The sequence below is a fragment of the Homo sapiens genome, chromosome 6 (assembly GCF_000001405.40).
Source record: "Homo sapiens chromosome 6, GRCh38.p14 Primary Assembly".
Taxonomy (NCBI): Eukaryota; Metazoa; Chordata; class Mammalia; order Primates; family Hominidae; genus Homo; species Homo sapiens.
In genome coordinates, this window is record NC_000006.12 from 101,893,632 (window position 1) to 101,914,079 (window position 20,448).

The 20,448-nt window shown below is 30.1% G+C and overlaps 1 protein-coding gene across 8 annotated transcripts in view; it reads left to right on the plus strand.

The window, feature by feature from the left end:
* Nucleotides 1-20,448, plus strand: part of GRIK2 (glutamate ionotropic receptor kainate type subunit 2) — a 676,376-nt gene that overhangs the window by 499,924 nt on the left and 156,004 nt on the right. Inside the window, exon 13 of one of the 8 annotated variants that reach the window (XM_017010782.3) lies at nucleotides 13,866-13,945. The exons of the other annotated variants lie outside the window; for them this stretch is intronic. Within the exon in view, the coding sequence (XP_016866271.1) occupies nucleotides 13,866-13,923 (58 nt within the window). The 3' untranslated portion in view covers nucleotides 13,924-13,945. Of the gene's footprint in view, nucleotides 1-13,865; nucleotides 13,946-20,448 lie in introns of those variants that run through there. 8 annotated transcript variants of the gene reach the window in all.

Genomic DNA, 20,448 nt, shown 5'->3' on the forward strand with positions numbered 1-20,448 from the left:
TTAATTATTCTATCAACTGCTCACTCAATTAGTCAAATATTTGTTGAGCCTCTAGTAAGCACTAATTAGATCCCATAAAATATTAAACATTTATTTCTCATTTATTCATTTATTTATTCAACAATATCTATTGGCTACCCGTAAGTACTAAGAGTTGTGCCAAATGCTTGAATCCCAGAATGAACCCAACTGAATATGTTATTTTCACTAATAACTCACAATCAGTGCATATATCTGGCAATATATATCTATTACCCTTGAATAAATTTATAATAATACTTAAATCATCTTAAATTCTGTAAGAATGCCATGTATTTTAAATACGCTTTTCTGAAAAATATCTTGTAATATATATTTTGCTGGAGAGAAACATACAACTAGAAAGGAAATATGAGGAAGATTGTTATGTTGTCATTAGACTACTAGATTAGAAGCTTATTGAATATCTGCTCTACTATCATATTAATAATATTAATTTTATTACAAATTAAGATCTAATAATAATTGTTAGAATTTATGTTTTTAAAATTGGATTTAAAAGTAGATTATTTTGTCAATGCCTTTTAAAAATTTCCCCTCACATGTTAAGAAAAAATATCTAAGAATACTTAATAAATGTTTTAAATATATTTAACCAATACTGAGAAGGAGATGTATGGTGTTGGTTTTTGTCTCCATATAGTTTTATATTTTATGATCTCCTGTAAGCAGTTATATTATTATTTATAGCATAATGACATAATCAGCATGCTTATCTGAATTAGCTCTGAATGTTAATTAAGAGTAAGGATTAGCCTGGGATAGTGCTTTCTAGACATAGAATGACCTTATCCCAAAATTCTAATGGTAGCTCTTTGCTGACAGAGAATTAGGAAGAAATCTTGTCCGGGATGGGTTCATGCTTACTCAGATTTTCCCCTAAATGTTTTCTCCTCCTTTTTCTTTCTCTTTTCTTTCACCTAGGCATATGATTATAGAGATGGCAGTTAGTCATATAAAAAGTCTGGTTAGGGCACCCACCCCTTACATTAATAATAAAATATATTTTTCACCTTGCTTCAAATATTTATTTTATTAAACTAAAGCTACTATTGATATAATAGAAAATGTTTATAAAATGACTCCATTAAAATTCCCATATATGTTAGGTTTTTTTTCCTCTTAACCATATATATCTCCAAGAAAATTGAGCTGTTCTGAAATTCATTATTGGTCTAGGGTTCTTAGCAGTTTGATGTACAGAGATGAATAACTGAAGACCAAACCTAAAAGAAAGGAATAATGGTACACACATATCCCTCCAACAGGATTGATGTAACCTTAATAATTATTCACTAAGTCTTTAATAGTGCATATCTTATTTTGAAATTGGCATTTACAAATACAAATAAACTTTGGAGAATAAATTACTATACCAAATTTTGCAATATGAGTACTATTACATAAAAATGCATTAGGCTATTTAAATGAACAAATGATTAGGGTCAAATAGAGGAGAAAGTGTAAAGGAAGGCAAACAGTATTAAGTAACCTGGACTTCTTAGCTAGAAGAGTAAATCAAAGAATATTCAATGTGTTACATGCATAACATTTTTCTAAGTTAAAAGAATATAGGAATTTTTTGTGCATTTCTGTATATAATTGCCTTTAATTATTTTTAGAGTATTAGAATATTATCTATCATATTAGTGGGTTAGGCAGCAGGGCATGGACTCCCCAGAATCTACTCAATGGTTTATTATTTACAGTGACCACCAACACTGTCTTAACTTTATATTTTGGCTTAACTGTTTGATGGTTGAACTGACTTTAGAAAACCATATCCAAAGTGCTTACATTAACAGCTTTGATCTCAGCTATGGACTAGCGTGCAATAGCTTTCATATTTTTGTCACAGTGATGGGTGACATTTAATGTACGGTGAAGGACAACATTGAATTATTATGCACTTAAAAATAGATAACTGTTTTGGTGGGATGTTCAGTGTTAAACTAATCCGCTGTCAAAACGACTGTTGTCACATTAAAATGAAATGCCAATTTTGTTGTTTGTCTTTGCCACCAACTTGCCAGCTTTTTACCAAAAAAAACGATTTCAATTTTAACTTTCCATAACATAACTTTAGATATATTTTATTTTTAATGTCCTATTTTTTACTTAAATAAATTGCAGAAAAGCCTATTTATTATTATTCTTCACACTTAGCAATTTTCCTAAAATTTACTGAAAATTTAGTTTTAAATACGTGCTGTTCTGCTAATATGCCTGTCACATATTAAAGTGATTGCTAAAATTGATTAAATATTGACAAATATTTATCTAAATTATGGACCTAAAAGTAAACATTGATGAAAATTAGATATATTTTCAAACTGTGGATTAAAATATTTCCATAGTAGATGAGGCTACTTCTGCACTAAATAATATTTTTAAAATTATTATTTTTTGTTACAATGTACCTCTTTATTTTAGTGGTTCCAGTGATGTTTATGGTTGCAAGTATATGTGGAGTCACCAACCCAGAAAAAATTCTTAGTTTGTATCTTTAGTAGAACCAAACCAATTGAAACTAAGTTGAATCAATGACTTCTTTTCAGTTGTGATAAATATGGTATTGAGGTAATTGAGGCAACAGAGCTCTTGACTGAAAGTATCCATGTAGGACAAAGAAGATAATTTAATCTTCAGAGGAGAAATCAAACATATTTTCCACCTCTCAATTTTTAAATTATGCCAGACATTTACAGGTGTAAAAGATTTGAGAAAAAATTGAGTAAGACAAAGGCAATTTAAAATTAATGTGCTTTTTCTGTAATTTTCTGTAATCAAATGCTAGTTGGCATTTTTTAAGGATAAACATGCTTATTTATTTTTTAGAAGTATCTACATCAATCTACAAATTATTTTTTTCACATAAATATAATTTATTGTTAGGCCAAAATTAAGTATAAACGCAAGAGCAGAAATTTGATAGCCCATCTTTATTTTTCAAATTCTATGGATAAATTATTGGCCTCTGTATCCTTCTTTGCCTCCATCACCAGAATTGAGTGGAAAGACTCCTGGAAGCAAAAAGACTTCCTCTTTCTAGTCATTTTAAGTGTTTCCACTGGAAAAATATCTTGGCCAATGAACTTCTGAGAACTATGGTCATCTGTGATGATTTGTTTCCATTTAGAAGTTTCATAATGTCTAGCTCAGTAAATCACAAAATTAATTATAATAAGTTACAGTTTATGGGGTGATATGAAGAAACTCAGAGTGCTAAAACTTGAAGTACAACGCTTATTAAATTCTTATATTTGCTACCAAAAAATGGCACCTCTGTTCTTAATCAATTCTTTATGGAACATGTCATTGTATTTAACACACACACACACACACACACACACACACACACAGACACATACACATGCACACACATCTGATAAGAGCAGCACACGTATAAAAAATTTTTTTAAAGATTTGGACAATGGAGTGTAGTGGGTTCTTTGGCAGTTACTAATGTGTCTTTTATACATTTCTCACTAGCTAATTCAAGCTGAGAAGCTAATAGGACAAGAATAATACTGGTTTATCTTCCACTTTATTCTTTTTTTCTTTTTCCTTTCTTCCTTTTTTTTGGACCAGAATAAATATTTTTTTGAGGTGTCTTTTAAGAACCAACAGGATAAGGAAAAACAATCATTTTTTACCAAGTGATACACTTTTTCTTTTATGTTTTGTTGTTTCTAGATAGCAACATTTTTTCATAGCGGCAGAATACTGTGAATTGCTTGTAAGAATACACCTCTCCAGGCTGGTCTGTCTGTGGTAATTCTCAAAACAAAATTTCACTTCTGTTTTCCATAGCCACTGGAAAAATGGTGCCCTTGGTCTTTTTGGAAGCTTTCTCAGTCAACCTAAGAAAGGTCTTCTCAATCTGAAACAACTATTCCAGCAAAATCAGTGGCTTTAAAAAATTTCAATTTTTTTAAATGAAATATTTTAATCCACAATGTCTAGTAAAGACAGGCGACATCTTTTATATGAACATATACCTTTAAAAAGTGAAGTCTGTGCAGGAAGCCAGTGACATAAAGATAATGAAGAAATAAAGAATTGTTTACTAGGTATTTTTCTTTCATTCTGTATGTCTTAATGATTAGGAGTACTGTGCTCATAAAAAGGCAATTGTCTTGAGAAATGTAGAAAAATAGGTCAGTATTTTTTTTCTTTAATGCCAAACATGACACTTAAATTAGTTACAATTTTACTTGGATAAAGCTGTCCTTTTGCTGTAAATTATTTGGGGTAAGAGTCCTTTCAAATGGATGGTTGTCTATGCAGTCTTGTACCAGAGTGGTGGGTCAGGTGAGGGACAATTGAGAGAAAAAAGAAGAAAACTAATACGTATTGCATGTCAACAGTAGCCAGATTATATTTGAGAACTATAAAGAGATTCATTTATTACCTTTTTTTAAAATTAGTAACTGTGTGTTTTTATGATATGATTTAAGGAATAAATACATATATAGCAGCCCCCAGCCCCTCACCCTCACCACAAATGAGATTAGAGATGTTTTCTTTTTGTTGAATGCTGTTATTGTAACACTTTTTAATTTTAACTTATTATGAAGAAGAATGTGACACTAAAGAAAAAATAAATTTAGAAGAAAATGGAAAACATATTCAGAAAAGCATTTGTATCACTTGATTTGTTTTGCCTATCATGTTAACTTTACCTTCTAGTTTTTCTTCCCAAAATTTAGAAACTTGGCAGTTTTTTTTATTTAAAGTATGCTCTATTAAATATTTTTACTACATGTTAGTAGTATACGGTTTTACAGTAACAGATAATTCCTTGAAAAAAAAATCCTTAGTTAGCTGTACTTAAGAAGTATGTCTTTTTCTTTAGATTGCAAATAAGAAAGCTTGAAAACTTTCCAATCAACTGGGCACCTAGACAGGAGACATTAGCAACCAAATGTGTAGATTTGCTTTATAAAGCTAGTCTCTGGAAATGCTAACACTTTTTCCCTGAAAATTATTAGCTACGTGTTATAAAGCTAGTCTCTGGAAATGCTAACACTTTTTCCCTGAAAATTATTAGCTACGTGTATTAAAAGAATAAAACAACATTGTGAGTTTTTCTGAAGACTCAAGTGGTATTAGTATTGTTTTTTCATAATTCATGGATATGAGAGAAATATCAATGTTAAATAATAATGTACAGACAAAATTTTAGTGATAAATCACATCTTTCTTTATACTAAGTAAAATTATGCACTCTATCCAAATAATTAATGAGTAGGAGATATAGTGTCATCAACCAGTGTAACTTCATTCATTAGAGCATCTCACAACACCTTAATTGCTATAATTTTTTACATTCCATTACATAATTACATCATTCAAGTTAAACTGTTTTCATATCAATCCTGTTGGGTATACATATATAGAAAGAGAGAGGTTTCTTTTTGTTGTTTTTGTTTTTTTTTTTTTTAAGAAAAAATATCGTGGCTGTCCTAAATAGTAATGGGAATTTCAATATCTTTGGATAGAAATATCTTGGTTGATCTATTTCGTATATAAATATAATTAGTAAAACAAATGACCATGCAAACTATTCTATTAACTTTTAATATGTATAGTTTTTCTAGTTAGCTCTTGTGTAATAAAGCTGACTATGAAAATATAAAGTTATCTCTCTAAGAAACTTGTTGATTTTATACTCATTTTTGAAATTTTGTTTGGAAGCCCAGAAATTCACGTTTCATTCCTAATGACAGTAAACCATATTAATGAAGTTATTATATGTATTTGCATTTCAAGCCTATAGTTATTTTTTCTATTTTATTTAATGAGCATTGATTGAAACAGACTTTCAGTTTTAATACCTTCTAACTTATATAAAGGATGATTTTTCTCTTTCCCCGCCTGGATATAACATAGTTTCCTGCTATTCTTTATAAGAGATGTTAAATCCTAAATTAATTACTTTTAACATTTCGCTTTCTCATGGGCTTCTGACTACACCTGAGATGATAAAATGAGATGAACGCATTTGCAGTAAATTTTCCTATTAAATGGATAAACTTAATATTTGAAGCAAAGGTGAAATTGTAGGTTTTGAATGTTACTGGCATGATAAAGTTATAAACAGAATAGGGCTACAACTGTCATCTAAGTTGGTTCAGAATATGCACCTGAATATTATTTTAACATAATAAAATTAGGTAAGTGTTTCCCTGCTTCCCTTACTATTCTTGGTAATGGGGGGTGCTGGGAGGTGTATTTCAGTATAAGTTCAGCAATTCACTAGACTGAAGATATGTTTTGGAAACTGGTAATAATCTAGTGATTTTACAAAATAAGAAACATTAAAAATAGAGAAAATTTTGCTTGTAAATGGACATACAAAAATAAGATTCATACTTAGAGAAATGTGTATTTATTTTAAAATGTTGATATTACTACTTCAATTTTCAATTAGAGCTTCAATATTTAGGAAGATATTAAAAATAATGTTTTAAATCATCCACCTAAGAATTTAAACATATTTATTTTGGAGCCAGGCGCTGTGGCTCACGCTTGTAATCCCAGCACTTTGGGAGGCCGAGGTGGGCAGATCACCTGAGGTCAGGAGTTCAAGACCAGCCTGACCAACATAGAGAAACCCCGTCTCCACTAAAAATATAAAATTAGCCGGGCGTGGTGGCACATGCCTGTAATCCCAGCTACTAGGGAGGCTGAGGCAGGAGAATCGCTTGAACCTGGGAGGCAGAGGTAGCGGTGAGCCGAGATCGTGAGCCGAGATCGCGCCATTGCACTCCAGCCTGGGCAACAACAACAACTACAAAATATATATTTATTTTGATATTTTAGTTGAAAACAAAAGTAATACATGATTTCCAAACATATTTCAGTTGTTTTAGGTAGTAAACTGTGTATAGAATGCATATATATAATTTTAAAATATTTTATTGATTTGTTTGATACAATAGAGTGTCTATTTTCAAAAGACATTTCCAATTTATTTAGTGGGGATGTAGAAAACCCACAAGTCATTCAGCTTTGTGAAAGATGTTATAAAAATTATTTTTATAGGTAAAATTTCCTGCAAAAAAGAAAACTTTACGTGCCTTATATCTTGATGGTAGCTGTGGCTATTTTTGTGTCATCCAGATAATTGCATATTAGTTAATTCAATTTAAATGGCCAGATGATTTTATCCTTTCCAATGCTAGCTTCAAGTCCTTGTTGATAACATCATTTACTTACTGAGTGTCCTTGTTTTTTTTTTTCTTAAAAAAAGCATAGTTTTATTTTTTATTATTAGAAATCTCTTGACCTTCTGACTTATCTGAGGACAGTCTGCCTGAAGTCTGTTAATTCTGGATTTACTGCTATTAAAATCCTTAGCAAGTTTTTACTGCAAGCTAAACATTTGCTTTTGACCTGTGATTAATTCAAATGTAAATCACTCTCATAGTTCTTTTAAAATAACTACTTTTTAAGTTTGGTATTTTATTTGCAAATAAATAGCTATATTGGTAAGAAATAATTTTTTACAAGACAAACCTATGTTTTTTTATGTAATATTATATGTGAGCCATTTTCCTTACTATTCTCAATTTAAAGCCACTCTTAATTTGATTGGACAATTGGGTGTTTTAGAAAAAAAATGTATATTGATAGCCAGTGAATGGAACTACATGATAGCCATTGTATATTAAAAAATAGAATCCAGTTTTGAATGTCTAATTATAGTTTTTATTTTACTTTGACATTTGTAAAATTGCCTGAATTCATGGCAAACAATATTATGACTTTTCTTCAGAAATCTTATTATAAAATGATCAATAGATGATTATAATAATTTGTAATCCCATAACAATCTCATAAAATAATAATCTCATAACAATAAGGAATAATCTTGGCTACATTAAATAAACTAAAATACAGTATACCATTATAACTTTAAGTAATAAGAATAAGTCATAAGGATCTGTAATCAGCTTATTGATGAAGTTAATTTCCTATAACAAATATAAATTTTAAGTGGAAGTTAGAAGTCATAAATTCTAAAGTTGATTATTTTATTGTTTTTAGTTATCCATTTAAGACTAAATCATATTTATTTTTCATTAAGATTATGTATTTTAAAAAATTGACCACGATTTAAATTTGTTATCACTAACATATTACAAATCAGTAGAACTGATCATTGTTATCATTTCACTAAGCCTTTCAAATTCATTTGGATCTACTAAATAATACATTTAATAGCATATTATTACAATGTTAGGTACAAAAATCCTTCTACTTCACCATGTACATCTGGTAACTTTCTGGTACTAACACTACCAATTAAATAATGTCGAGCAATTCATGAATCATCTATAAAATTGGCTTAAAAATTTAAATGATATTTATTGTTCAGTGATGTGATGATAGTTTAATAATTGGCTATGGCAGTGAAAAGGGCTTTCCTTTGTAGCATTTGCCAATTTTCATAGTTTAAATATTCCCACAATAACAAATATCAAACTACCAATGGGAGGGTCACCGAATACAGATTTGGGAAAAGAGATGCAAAATTAGTTATTGCAAGCCAGAATGAGCAGGCCCTAGGATACCACTAATATGTAATATGTTCAAGAGAAGGGAAAAACAGTAAGCTGTAAAAGTTAATAGCAGGTAGTTCGGGTGGAATGTATTGACATACAAATATACACAATGTATGAAGAAGGATATGTGGAAGATAATGACAAGGTTGTAGAGCCTTGAAAGCAAAAGTAAAAAGTTAAGTTGTTATTAAGATAATTACAACCTCGGAAACAATTCTAAACTTAAAGTAAATGTCAGTTTATCCTCTTGCTCATTTAAATAAGTTTATACCTAAACAATTAGCATAACATTTTTGAGTTAACTGTATATGAACATATCTATGGACAAGAGAAATTATACCAGGAAGACTTTAGCTATATGATGTTTTCAGGGAATGAGTCATTGTGAATATTAATGTTTTCTTAATTATTGAGTTTTCAATACTAAATTACAAAAATTTAACTATTTACATGGAAATTTTTTTAACTACAACATATTCTTTCCTGCTTATAATTTTTAACCAAAAGTTCTTAAAGGAATAAAACTCTTTAAGATAATTTAGTTGCAATATTATAAACATCAATTATTTTTACCTGAAAGTTCAGTAATAGCTTCAGGGCCTGTATTAGAAGAAATAGGTTCCCTCGCGGGTAATAGGAAACTTCACCATGTTGTTTGAATTAATAGGGGATGATTGTGTTCATAGTCTCAAATTAGACAAAATTGAAACAGCAGCTGAAAGGTGTTATCAAGGAACCTAACACCTCTATCTACCTGCTACATCATTCTTAGAGACTTTTATCCTCATAGTTACAAGATACCCATTGAAAGGCCAGGCATTTTATCTGTATCCCAGGCTGGGAAGAAGGGAGAAAAGAGAAAGAGCAACCTGCAAAAGTCTTCACCTTTTTATTCAGAAAGGAGATGCTTCCTCTCTGTATATCTTATTAACTAGAATTATTTTGCTTAGATCGCCCTAGCTGCAAGAGAGGCTGCAGAAATGGCTTTCTTTTATCTGAGCTTACTGCCACTTCAGTTCTTTTGTTAGAAAAGTGATATTATTGGGTATGTTATTGGCAGTGGCTGCCCATAGGGATTTATTGAATTGTGAAGTAATGATTCATCACTCATGCAATTCTCTCAAAATTTTTATTTCAAGTGCTCATTTCTGAAATTTTCTTTTTCCTTCATTGTCATCAGTTATCAGAATGCCTGTCTCTAAGCAGTATAACTGCTCCCTTCTTGTTTGTTATTTTAAACCACATTTTCTTTAAAACAAGTTAATGAAACGTAAACAACGTATGAATAGTAAGTGCAAGTATTTCATGTCTTAGATTTCTGTTATACTTTCTTTCTGGTTCTGGTTTATATTGTTGAAATTCAAATTTGCCGAACTAGTTTTGTGTAAGAAACATGAATCATTACTCTAATATTTTAAGTGATGCTACCAAAATGTAAATTTTTAATGTTGTAGAAAATAACTCTGATTTATTTTGATGTGGGATATTCAAATACATCAATGTTTTTCCCAACTTCTCTATAGCCATGAAGAAGTTGGAGCAAAAAAAAAAATAATAGTTGGTAAATTGATACCCTTCATAATGCCCATATAATATAAATGCATCATAGCATATTTTAGGAGAGCTTTTACAAATCATCAGATACTAAGCTGTTTCTAGGGGAAAATATCTCTATGATCAAATAAGGTCAGGAGAACTATGTAGTAGAGTTTTCTTTTAGGAATTCACTATTAACAAATTAAAGGCTCTGAAAATTCTTGCAATAAAGAAATCTGATTAGGTTTGTTGAACTAGCATTGCCCCAACACTTAGCCATGGGGCCTTTTTTTTTTCTCTGTTAATCTATTATCTCTAATTTTATGTTCTCTATTAGTTAACTTTCTGAATCAAAGATGTGAAGCATTGCTTTAACATATAAGTTCACTTCAATTTTTTTATCTTCATCGTACACATTCTAAATTGATTAAATCACTTGTAACAAGACTAAGAATCTAGTCTCCTGATTCCTAATGGAATTATCAGTGCTCATTTTGCTGATGTACATGGAAGCATAAGATCGTGTCACATCTATTTAAGTGATAGTTTATGACTTCATAGAACTTGTGTATAGATAACAATTTGAAGTTTTTAAAAAAATTACTGAAACAACATCATTGCTTCAATTTTTAATATCTTCTTTTAAGAAAGTACATACAATAAATGTGTAAATTTACATTTAGTTATAAAATTAAAGTCATTTAATTTTTTAAAAAAATGGCTGGTCTTAGGACAACCTGTTATTATTTATTAGTGAACTTGGTCAGAAATTCAAGTTTTGTTATTAATCAAAAAGATAATCATTGGATACTTAAGAATTTTCTAAATGCATAAAAATTTATGAAATCATTAGAAAGTTGGGAAAAATCCTCACAACCTAGCAAACAAATTCCCCTTTTTAATACTGTCAAATCATAATTTGGAAGCAAGCATATGATTAATGTAAAGTCCAATTTTGTTAGTATTATTACCTTCTGTGGTAAAGGAGAAAGTATGTTAGAAAACAGTTGATAATTTATTTTGTGTTTATTGCAAGAATGAAATTAGTTATCTATTCTTTATAAATGATCAGTACTCAAGGTGGATTAATTATGTAGATTTTAATTTCATCCACAGTTGTGAAACTATACATTTTTTACGATTATAATCTTTTTGTTGGAGTCTTATTAGTCTAGCTTATGACAAACAATGTACAAGCAGAACTGAAAGAAGGTCATTGTATTTTAAATCTCATTTACATGTTAGACAAGAAATGACAATTATTAATGTTCTACTTTTGGAATACAAGTATATAGTACAAAAAGCTAAAAGAGAAGTAGTGAATTCAGTTCATATGTGAGTCTAGAGTGTCTAAAACTTGACTGTAGTGATATTAAAATGGTCTGTTTAGAGACAACTAGCAATTTTTATCTTCATGTCTCTAGTTTGCTCATCTTGTGTAGGTTGGACAGGTAGCAATTTTGAATGGCTCATCTTAAAATGAATGCAATTATCAAAGGATTATATGGTCCATCCTGCAAGGCATTCACTCATTTTAATCTTTCATTTGCAGCTTTCTGACTCCTTTTATACAATTTCATTTATAGTTAATGGGAAGTGTTATAGCTTAGTTTTAGCTTACTCCAAATAAAATATGTCGTTAGACAAAAGCTTCATAAATAGCAGTTATTCTTTCTCAAATTTGACCAAGTGTTGTTTGTTTCTTAAAGTTAGTAAAGTTATATTATTTATTTAGTTTGTGATCATAACACACAAAACAGCATGTATCCAAAACATTAAACTGATTATCATAATTTATAGCTAGATTGAGATTATATAAATTCATATTCCATCCTAAACATTAATGCACTTGTTTTTTTATTTAGTGATCTTTTCACCACCTAAAATTTATTACTACTACATCTATCAATCATCTACCTACCTATTTCTATTCATCCATGCATCAATTTATCAATAAGTATTAGCATATAAATCAGTGTGCAAAATTTATTTTTTAATGTCTCGCTCATTCATAATTTCTAATATGTATATATTTGGAATAACCTGCCAGTCACTATACCTACTCTTTCAGAAATAAAAAATGGAATTTTTATTTATTGTTTGATTAAATGGAATAGTACTACATGGGGAAATGATGACTTTATGAATAAATATTCTGGATAATAAAAGTAGTTTTTACTAGAGCAACTAAAGAAAATATGCTGTAGTTTAATACAGCAACTAAAAATAGTTTGATTTTCTTAACTCAAATATTAAAGTGCGTTTAGATATTTTATTGTATAATAAATCATATACAAAATATTGTTTCAAAAATTCCACTCATTGAGAGAAATTAATGATTAATGTTCTACTTCTTTTGGAATACATGTACCATAGTACAAAAAGCTAGAAAATAACTAGTGAATTCCGCTCCTATGTGAGCCTAGAATATTGAAAGCTTGACTGTAGTGATATTAAAATTGCCTGTCTAGAGACAATTAGCAATTTCTCTTTTCATTTTTGACCCAGGGAATTTGAAGGACTTTTGTGTGAAAGAATTTCCTGCAGATTATTAAACTTTCTTGAATCATAACTATAAAACAAGATCTGTGTGTGTGTGTGTGTGTTTGTGTGTGTTTAAACCTTGGGATAAAGACTGTAAACTCCAGAGACTTAAAACCATTTACTCCCAAATTTTTGAGTATGCTCTCACTAAGAAGTGTGGAGAAATGCAAACGTAATGCATGTTCTGTCTAAGTGGAGGGATTTAAAATTTATTATTGGGAAAGGACAAATGTACATGGGAAGGCACCAGATGCTATTCAATTAGTCCACCTGAAGATAGCACTGTAAAAGGCATAAAAAGCAGGCTCAAGAAGTAGTTAATAAGAATGGATGGCATTTCAGTGTTGAGAATTGCCTGCAGAGGATGTAATCCTAATGGTATATTTGTCTATAATGTATCTAAAAACAATACACCGGAGTACAACAAGTAGCAATTTTATTTGTAGTTTCTGCCTCTATTAACCACCTGTTGTCTACCTGAGATTTGATTTACTTGACCTCATAAATACTGGTCCGCACTAGAGTGTGGTAGCACAGCAAAGAACAACAAATTGTTGATTGCTATTTTTCCTCATATGTTATTTTACAAACTTATCACTTGTTGCACAGTTGTGAACTTTGTACAAAGGCAAGAAGCATTTTGAATAACATGGTAAAATGACTACAATCATAAAGATTTTGCTAACAGTTTCTCAGAGATTTGCAGTATAAAGCTAATGAAACTGCTGAATGTAATTCTGAAAATCTTCTGGATATGATATTTTGAAAGCAGAGGTATAAAGAAGTGTATCAACTGTACAACATGTTAAGGAATATATATTAGATATATAACATTTAAATAAGACATTGGGACATAGGTATTTTATTTTCTAATACAAAGTCTTAAGTTCTTGAAAAACTTTTAAATAGACCAAATTAGGTTAGTGGAATAACAAGAATAGTTTATAAACATCATCTGAATGCTTTAAGACATTTAGGGAAACTTAATTGTGTGATTAAAAACGATAAAAGTGCATACAGCATTTCAAATAAACCTATGGAGTTCTAGGCCCCTGTCTGATTTAAAAGAAAAAAAAAAGCTGAGCATATCATTATTGGAACCTCATGCTTGAATGAAGAAGCTGAAACTTAAAGAAATAAGATGACCTAACAAGAATCCATATTTAATCATAGAACTGGAGCCAGATTGGTGACCGCCTGCAGTGCACCACAGTACGAAAGCAACATTTAGCCACCCAGTGACAGAACTTTACTTTCACAACTGTAAGTAAAGTTCAAAGTTTAAGTCTTGAGCATGCAGGACTTTAATACTCGTAGCTAACATTGGGTTTTGCGGTTTTTAAGAGGAATCTGTTTCTTCATAATATTTAATGTTACTTTAGGTATTAGGTTATTCTTTTTTATCTTTTTTTCTTTCTTCTTTTAGAAGATCTTAAAATGGTTTCAATCCATAAAATATGACTACGACATAAACTTTAGAGTTCTATCAGCTATGTAGTGTGTAGCAATATGCTACATTTTAGTTTTTCACTTATTTCCTCATTTATCCTTTAAGACATTAAGTAGACACTAATCTTTGTGCATTCACTCACTGTTTTTCAGGGTCTTTGGAATTTTCTTCCTCCTCTCCCCTTTTATCTTCCTCCTCCTTCTTCATTTTCTGTAAGAATGAAGAGCACATTTCTGAATTTCCCCTTTCTTTCTCTTCCTACTGTTTCAGTAGTTACTGATAGGAGCTTTTCAGCATGATTTGGCCACTGTTTTTTCAGTCCTACATCATTCTGTCCGAGCTGTCATTTAGTAAAGATTAAATTTAGAAGAAAATTTTATTTATTATATTGTATTTGGTTGTTTTAAAATATAAATAAAAATTTGAAGCTGGACTAGATTTAATAAGAAATTGTTGAGTCATTTTATTATGTGCAGCTAGTAAGTTGGTGCAAAAATAATTACGGTTTTGCCAAAAGTACATTAAAATTAATGGCAAAAACCACAATTATTTTGCACCAGCCTAATATTTTTACATACTAGTATTTATTGAACTTTTTCCTTATTATCCTTCATGCAGCTTAGATAATATATGAATGTTTATATCTAAGCTAACTTGAAGGAGGAAAGATTTTTGTTGTAGTCAATTTACCTATTCCTTGATTATTATCTTTTTAGTACATTACAGATAAATATATTTACCTATAATGCTATATTTATATAAAAATTTTAGGACCTATAAGTTAATGTTACCATAAAAAAGATCCAGGGAAGAGGAAGAGAGTAAATAGATATTAGAACTTACAAGAAATAGTAAATAATTATATAAAATAATGTAGGCTAATTTATTAAACTTGCTGTCTTTCAATTAATAAATTTGCAAAGTGTAATATGTTTAACAAATGAGTGCATACATTCAAGTAAAAATATTTCTATGAAAAGACAGATAAGATAGGAAGGATAAAAATGGAGATATAATGTTCATAGCACATTCAGACAAACTAAGGCAAATGAAATATCAATCATATTGAGAACATCATAAAATTCTTTTGGAATGAAAAGGTGTTTTTATGCCCCTCCCTTGTTTTATACATAAGATAACTGAGGCACTGAGTGGTTGAAAGACATACTAGAGATCACACAGTCAAAGGTGCAAGAGGACTGGAAATAGGGCTCTCAACTAGTATAGAAATTAAAGGATTCTCTTCAAAAAAATAATTTTAAACAGTGTTTGAAATTATTAGTAAAACCCAACTTCAAAGTAAAAAACACAAAGGTTATTCTGTAACTTTTATTAAGGTACTACCAGCTGTTACACAGGGATAAAATATTATTAATAAAAATAATTGACCTCATAATCAGTATAAAAGAGATTTTGATGGTAAATATTTGGACAGATTTTACTGAAGTACACCAAATAAGAAAAAAATATATAAACATGATTATTGTTATAATGTCCTATAAATCTCTATAAATAGGAACAGGAAGGAATAATTTAAATGCCTGCAATGAGGGTTTCAGAGTGAGTAAAAAATTTTTGGATGCTGAAGGAAGATAGGGTTTTCTTTTTCTTTTTTTTTTTTTTAAAGATCATTTGGGATTTAGGGAAAAAAGTGTCTACTGCTATAAGAAGTTGGAACAGTTCTATTTGTTTAGTGAAGTAGATAGTCAAGCTTGAGATGAAAAAATATTTTGAGAAATTAAATAACTGATAGCTCAAAGAAATGAGTAGTCACAGATGGACTTCTTGGCCTTCTTTCGTGAGCACATTTCCTGTTTTATTGGCTTTGGATAAGTAAAGCTCCTCAAATGAATAAAAAATGAAGAAGAAAAAAGCATCCTTGGGAAATGCATAAAATATGTTCATTGCCTTTTTGAAAAAAATAATGTGTGTATGTGTGTAAGTGTGTTTCTGTATATCTGTGTACATATACACACATACAGATATATATGCATTGTGTAATACAGAACACAATGAATAGATATATATAGATTAATTCTCATTAACCAGAATTCATAAACAATTCTCAAAGGCATTAAGAAATAATGCAATTTTTAACATCTACATGTAGAGAATAAAAAATTTTAATTATGTAAAATAATATAATGCAGCACTATCAGAAATAAAAATCTGATAAAATCAGAAATGTTATGAGTTTTGAGAACAGATAAACTGATAGAAGTGTTGTATAAAATCTCTAGTAATTGTTTTAAAAATAATGTATTATTAAAACTCTTAGTATATGTAGTTATAGAATTTGAGTATTAAACAGAATCACTTAAATTATTTTAAATATCTTTATAAAGAATCAGAAACATTTAATAAATATTGGCAGTGGTATATGTTTCTAAATTAAAAATAGAATGTCTGCTTATAATCAAATGCATAAACATGCTGTATATGCTAAACAGTTTAGTCAGTTTTTGCACTAAAAACTATTATCTGCAAGTTAAAATATTATAATTAAACAGTCATTTTTATGACTATCTAGCAATATGGCCCAAGTGACTGGGGGATTTTGTTTGGTTTTTTTAAATCTTGATTTTAAATTTGAGTCAATTGTTACTAATTTACTATTATTATACTCTCTAATGTTTGCTTTGGCCATAAGTAATAACATAAGAAAAAATATATTCTTCCATTCTTAAAGTGAAAGGAGATAGAAGCCAAATAGTTAAATATGAATGTCATCAGTTCAAATCAAGTGTTAGCAATGTATAATTTTGTGAGGTTTTTCATTGGTAAATACATAGTACTTATTTATAAGGAAAGAACATAGACCTAATCATATTGTATATTTGAGCATGTTGTACATGTGAATCATATGACTTTCAGGTGTATTCTCTGTTTTTTATTTTATACAAATAAAATAATAGATCTGCCTTTTAAATAATAGATCTTACCATTTATCTTGAAATTGAAACAAAGAAGATCATTAGAGAGCTACAGAATGCCATAGAAATTACAGGAAAAGAATTAGGTGACTATAACTAAAGGGGGTCACAGTAAAATAATACCAACATACACCACACACACACACACACACACACACATACACAAGCATTGGCTAATAATTTTTCAGGTATCTTTATCTAAGATAAATAATTTTTCAAGTATCTTTATCTAAGATAATTTTTGTTTTACCCTTCAGTGGATTTACTTCACATATATGTATAGTGGCCCCTTAAAGAGAGGCAGCCAAACAAACACTGCATTTGTATTATTGCTTTCTTATTTCTACCATATAAAATGTAAGGGCTGTTTTGTCTTCTGTTGGGGATACAGTAAACAAGGGAGAAATGAGCTGGTAAGGAGAGGATAAACTACATCTGGAAAAGTCAGAGCTAGTTTGAGATGGGTAAGCATGTAAAGAGAGGAAGAAAGAAGGAATAATGAATGCCAATCAGGAAGTTGGGGCTATAGCCAAGAATTTTAACTGTAGCCTCCCCAGCAATATGAGGTGCCTGTCACAATTACAAAACTGTTTGCCTCATTACATGAATCAGTCAAATGATCAGACCAAATTGGTATTACATTTCATCAATAGATTCTTGATTTTTACTGAATCAAGAATATTATTATTTATAGTTTTATAAAATTCAGGAAAATATGTATCCACTCTTGTAAATGTATTTGGGTAGCTTTATTGTATCTGCTACTGGTTCAGAATGTTTTATTTTGGGAGATGCTGACTTAAAGATTATCCTAGACAGCCTTTAAACTTAAAGGTAATCATTATTTGTAACACTTTGATTTATTTTTAATCAACTATTTTAACATTGCCGTTCCTTTACCTCATATTGAATCTTAACTTACTGGAAGCCCCTATTCTCAAAAATTTGCCTTTAATACTATTCAAATAATGGTCCCATCCAAAGTTCTCACAAAACATTGTTTGTTTTCTACGTAAAACAACATTCAAAGAGTAAAAATAACTTGAGAACATTTAGTCTAATATGATCATTTTTCAGGGAGGAAAAGTGAGGTGAAGTGACTCATCTTATTACACAATAATACACACACATAATTTAAGTATGTAAGTTGAAAATCATGAGCTTTAATTGCATTATTATAATAAAGGTTTTACAAAATCCTGTCCTGCTTAAGTAATTACCCTTGTAATGTCTACCCTTGTGAGTGAATAGATAATAAGTAAGGATTTATTTTCAAAAAGATAATAAACTTGTGGGTTATCAATTCTAGAAAGAAGCTTTAGTGATTACCAGGGGCAACGCACACACACACACACACACACACACACACACACAGACACAAACACACACACACAAACACACACACAGAGACCGAGAGAGAGAAATCAGCACTATAGACAAGACTATATAATCTGTTGTATCAAGACAACTATCAATTATATTTTTTATTGGGTATACGGCTAACTTGCACAGACATCCTAAAACATTATTTAAAAAAATGGTTGGCAAATAGAACAAGTAATCAGAGGAAGAGCAGAACCTTTAAAAAACTCGTTTTCAAGGCAGCAAAAAACTCTAACAGACTCTCTTAAGAAGTGTTTTAGCTCCCACTACTTAGCATTAATAAGTGTGAAAGGGATTCCCAGTCTCAGGCCTACATCCCTGTCAGCTCTTAGTATTTACGTGCAGCTCCTTAATTCATGCTCAAAGATTATGTTATCAACAATGATTACCAGTGGTGGGAAAGCCGGGCTTGAAAAGGCTGAATAATGGCTAAGACTCGCTTCTCTTCGTGCACATTTAAAAGCAGTGCTTTCATTGATAGCCAAAATCCTGCTAACAGGGGTGGGTATTATTGTGCCTACTCCTCAGTTTCATGAAGAGATCTGTTGTTTCTTAGAATTTCCACGCCACCTCATCTAGTTTCATGTTGTTTTTCCTTGTGTCATTAAAAAATACCTTGTTCCCACTTTTTCTGAGTGCTGTTTCCACTGAGGCTGGCCATCCAGCAGTGGCCTGAGGTTCTTAATATTTCTCTTTATTTTTTAAAGGAAATGCATCTTATGAGGTAGTGTTTACAAACCAGTCATATTTTAGATCCCACCACTCATTCTGTTGAAGAAACTTGCACTTAAGATGAGAGTAATGCAAAGCTCATTTAAAAATTCTTTATCTTTATAGGTTAATAATCATTCTGATATTTTGTTTATTTTTCAGAAAAATATGTTACTCGATAAAACACAGAAATAGTATGATTCTGGATATATTTTATTTTTGAATTTAAAGCAGTAAGATTGATTCCATCAGTAGTTTAAATACAAAATAAATCTGCTCAAGAAGTAGATCACAAAAAAGACAGGTAGACTGGGTAAACAAGGAATTCATACAAATACTCTTTGTCCAAAGTGTCCAAAATTTACTAGCTATCAATATTACTACATTGCTCTCGCTTAATAAAATACACACGGAAGAACAGATACATTTTAGTGATTGTTTTATTAACTCTATAATACCTCTATTATGCCCAAGGAACTCCTGTGTGCAATTTATTGAAAAGCATTAGTATGATAATTATTCATGGAAAAAGCAGCTCTGCTCTGAATCTTCTACATCCACTGGCATCTACATTCTACATAACACTGAACAAAGTGCTAAAGAATTTCATTTTTCTGTGTATATGGACCCAATGAAACAATAGTATTTTTGAGCACTTATTCTATTTTCAGTATTGTTCTAATGCTGTAAGAGATGTAAAATTAAAATGACATACTTCATTCATTTAATCTATTAGTAAGTGAATTAAGGCTTTAACATATGAAAATGATATCAAATGGGCAATAATGAAGTGAGCATTTTAGGTGGAGGAGGCTAAAATAAATATGGAGTAGCATATTTACCTTTCAAGGAGTGTATCATCCAATAAGTGAATTATGCTTTAAAATATAAGTAGAATATTAATGAGCTGTAATAAAGGAACATTTTTCCTGGGAGGAAGAACATTAACAAAGTAAAGAGATCTTAATATGAATGCTATGTAAGATGTTATATGAGTGTCATGTATGAGATATTTTTGATCTATTTAGATAAACCATAAGACTCTTGTTAGAGCATAGTAGAAAAAATGATATGACTCAGCTTTCTAAAGCCTTGAATATTGGGCAGAAGAGGTTAGAGTTTATAAAAAAGAAATATTGGTTTCTTGCAGATTCTTGATCAATGAATAAAAAGTATTAAAGTTTGAGAAGATTTACTTAATAGTCATAAATAGAAAAGACAAAAGAGATATAGGTGAGAGAATCAAAAGATAGGGAGATGTGTTGGTTTGGAGGTAATT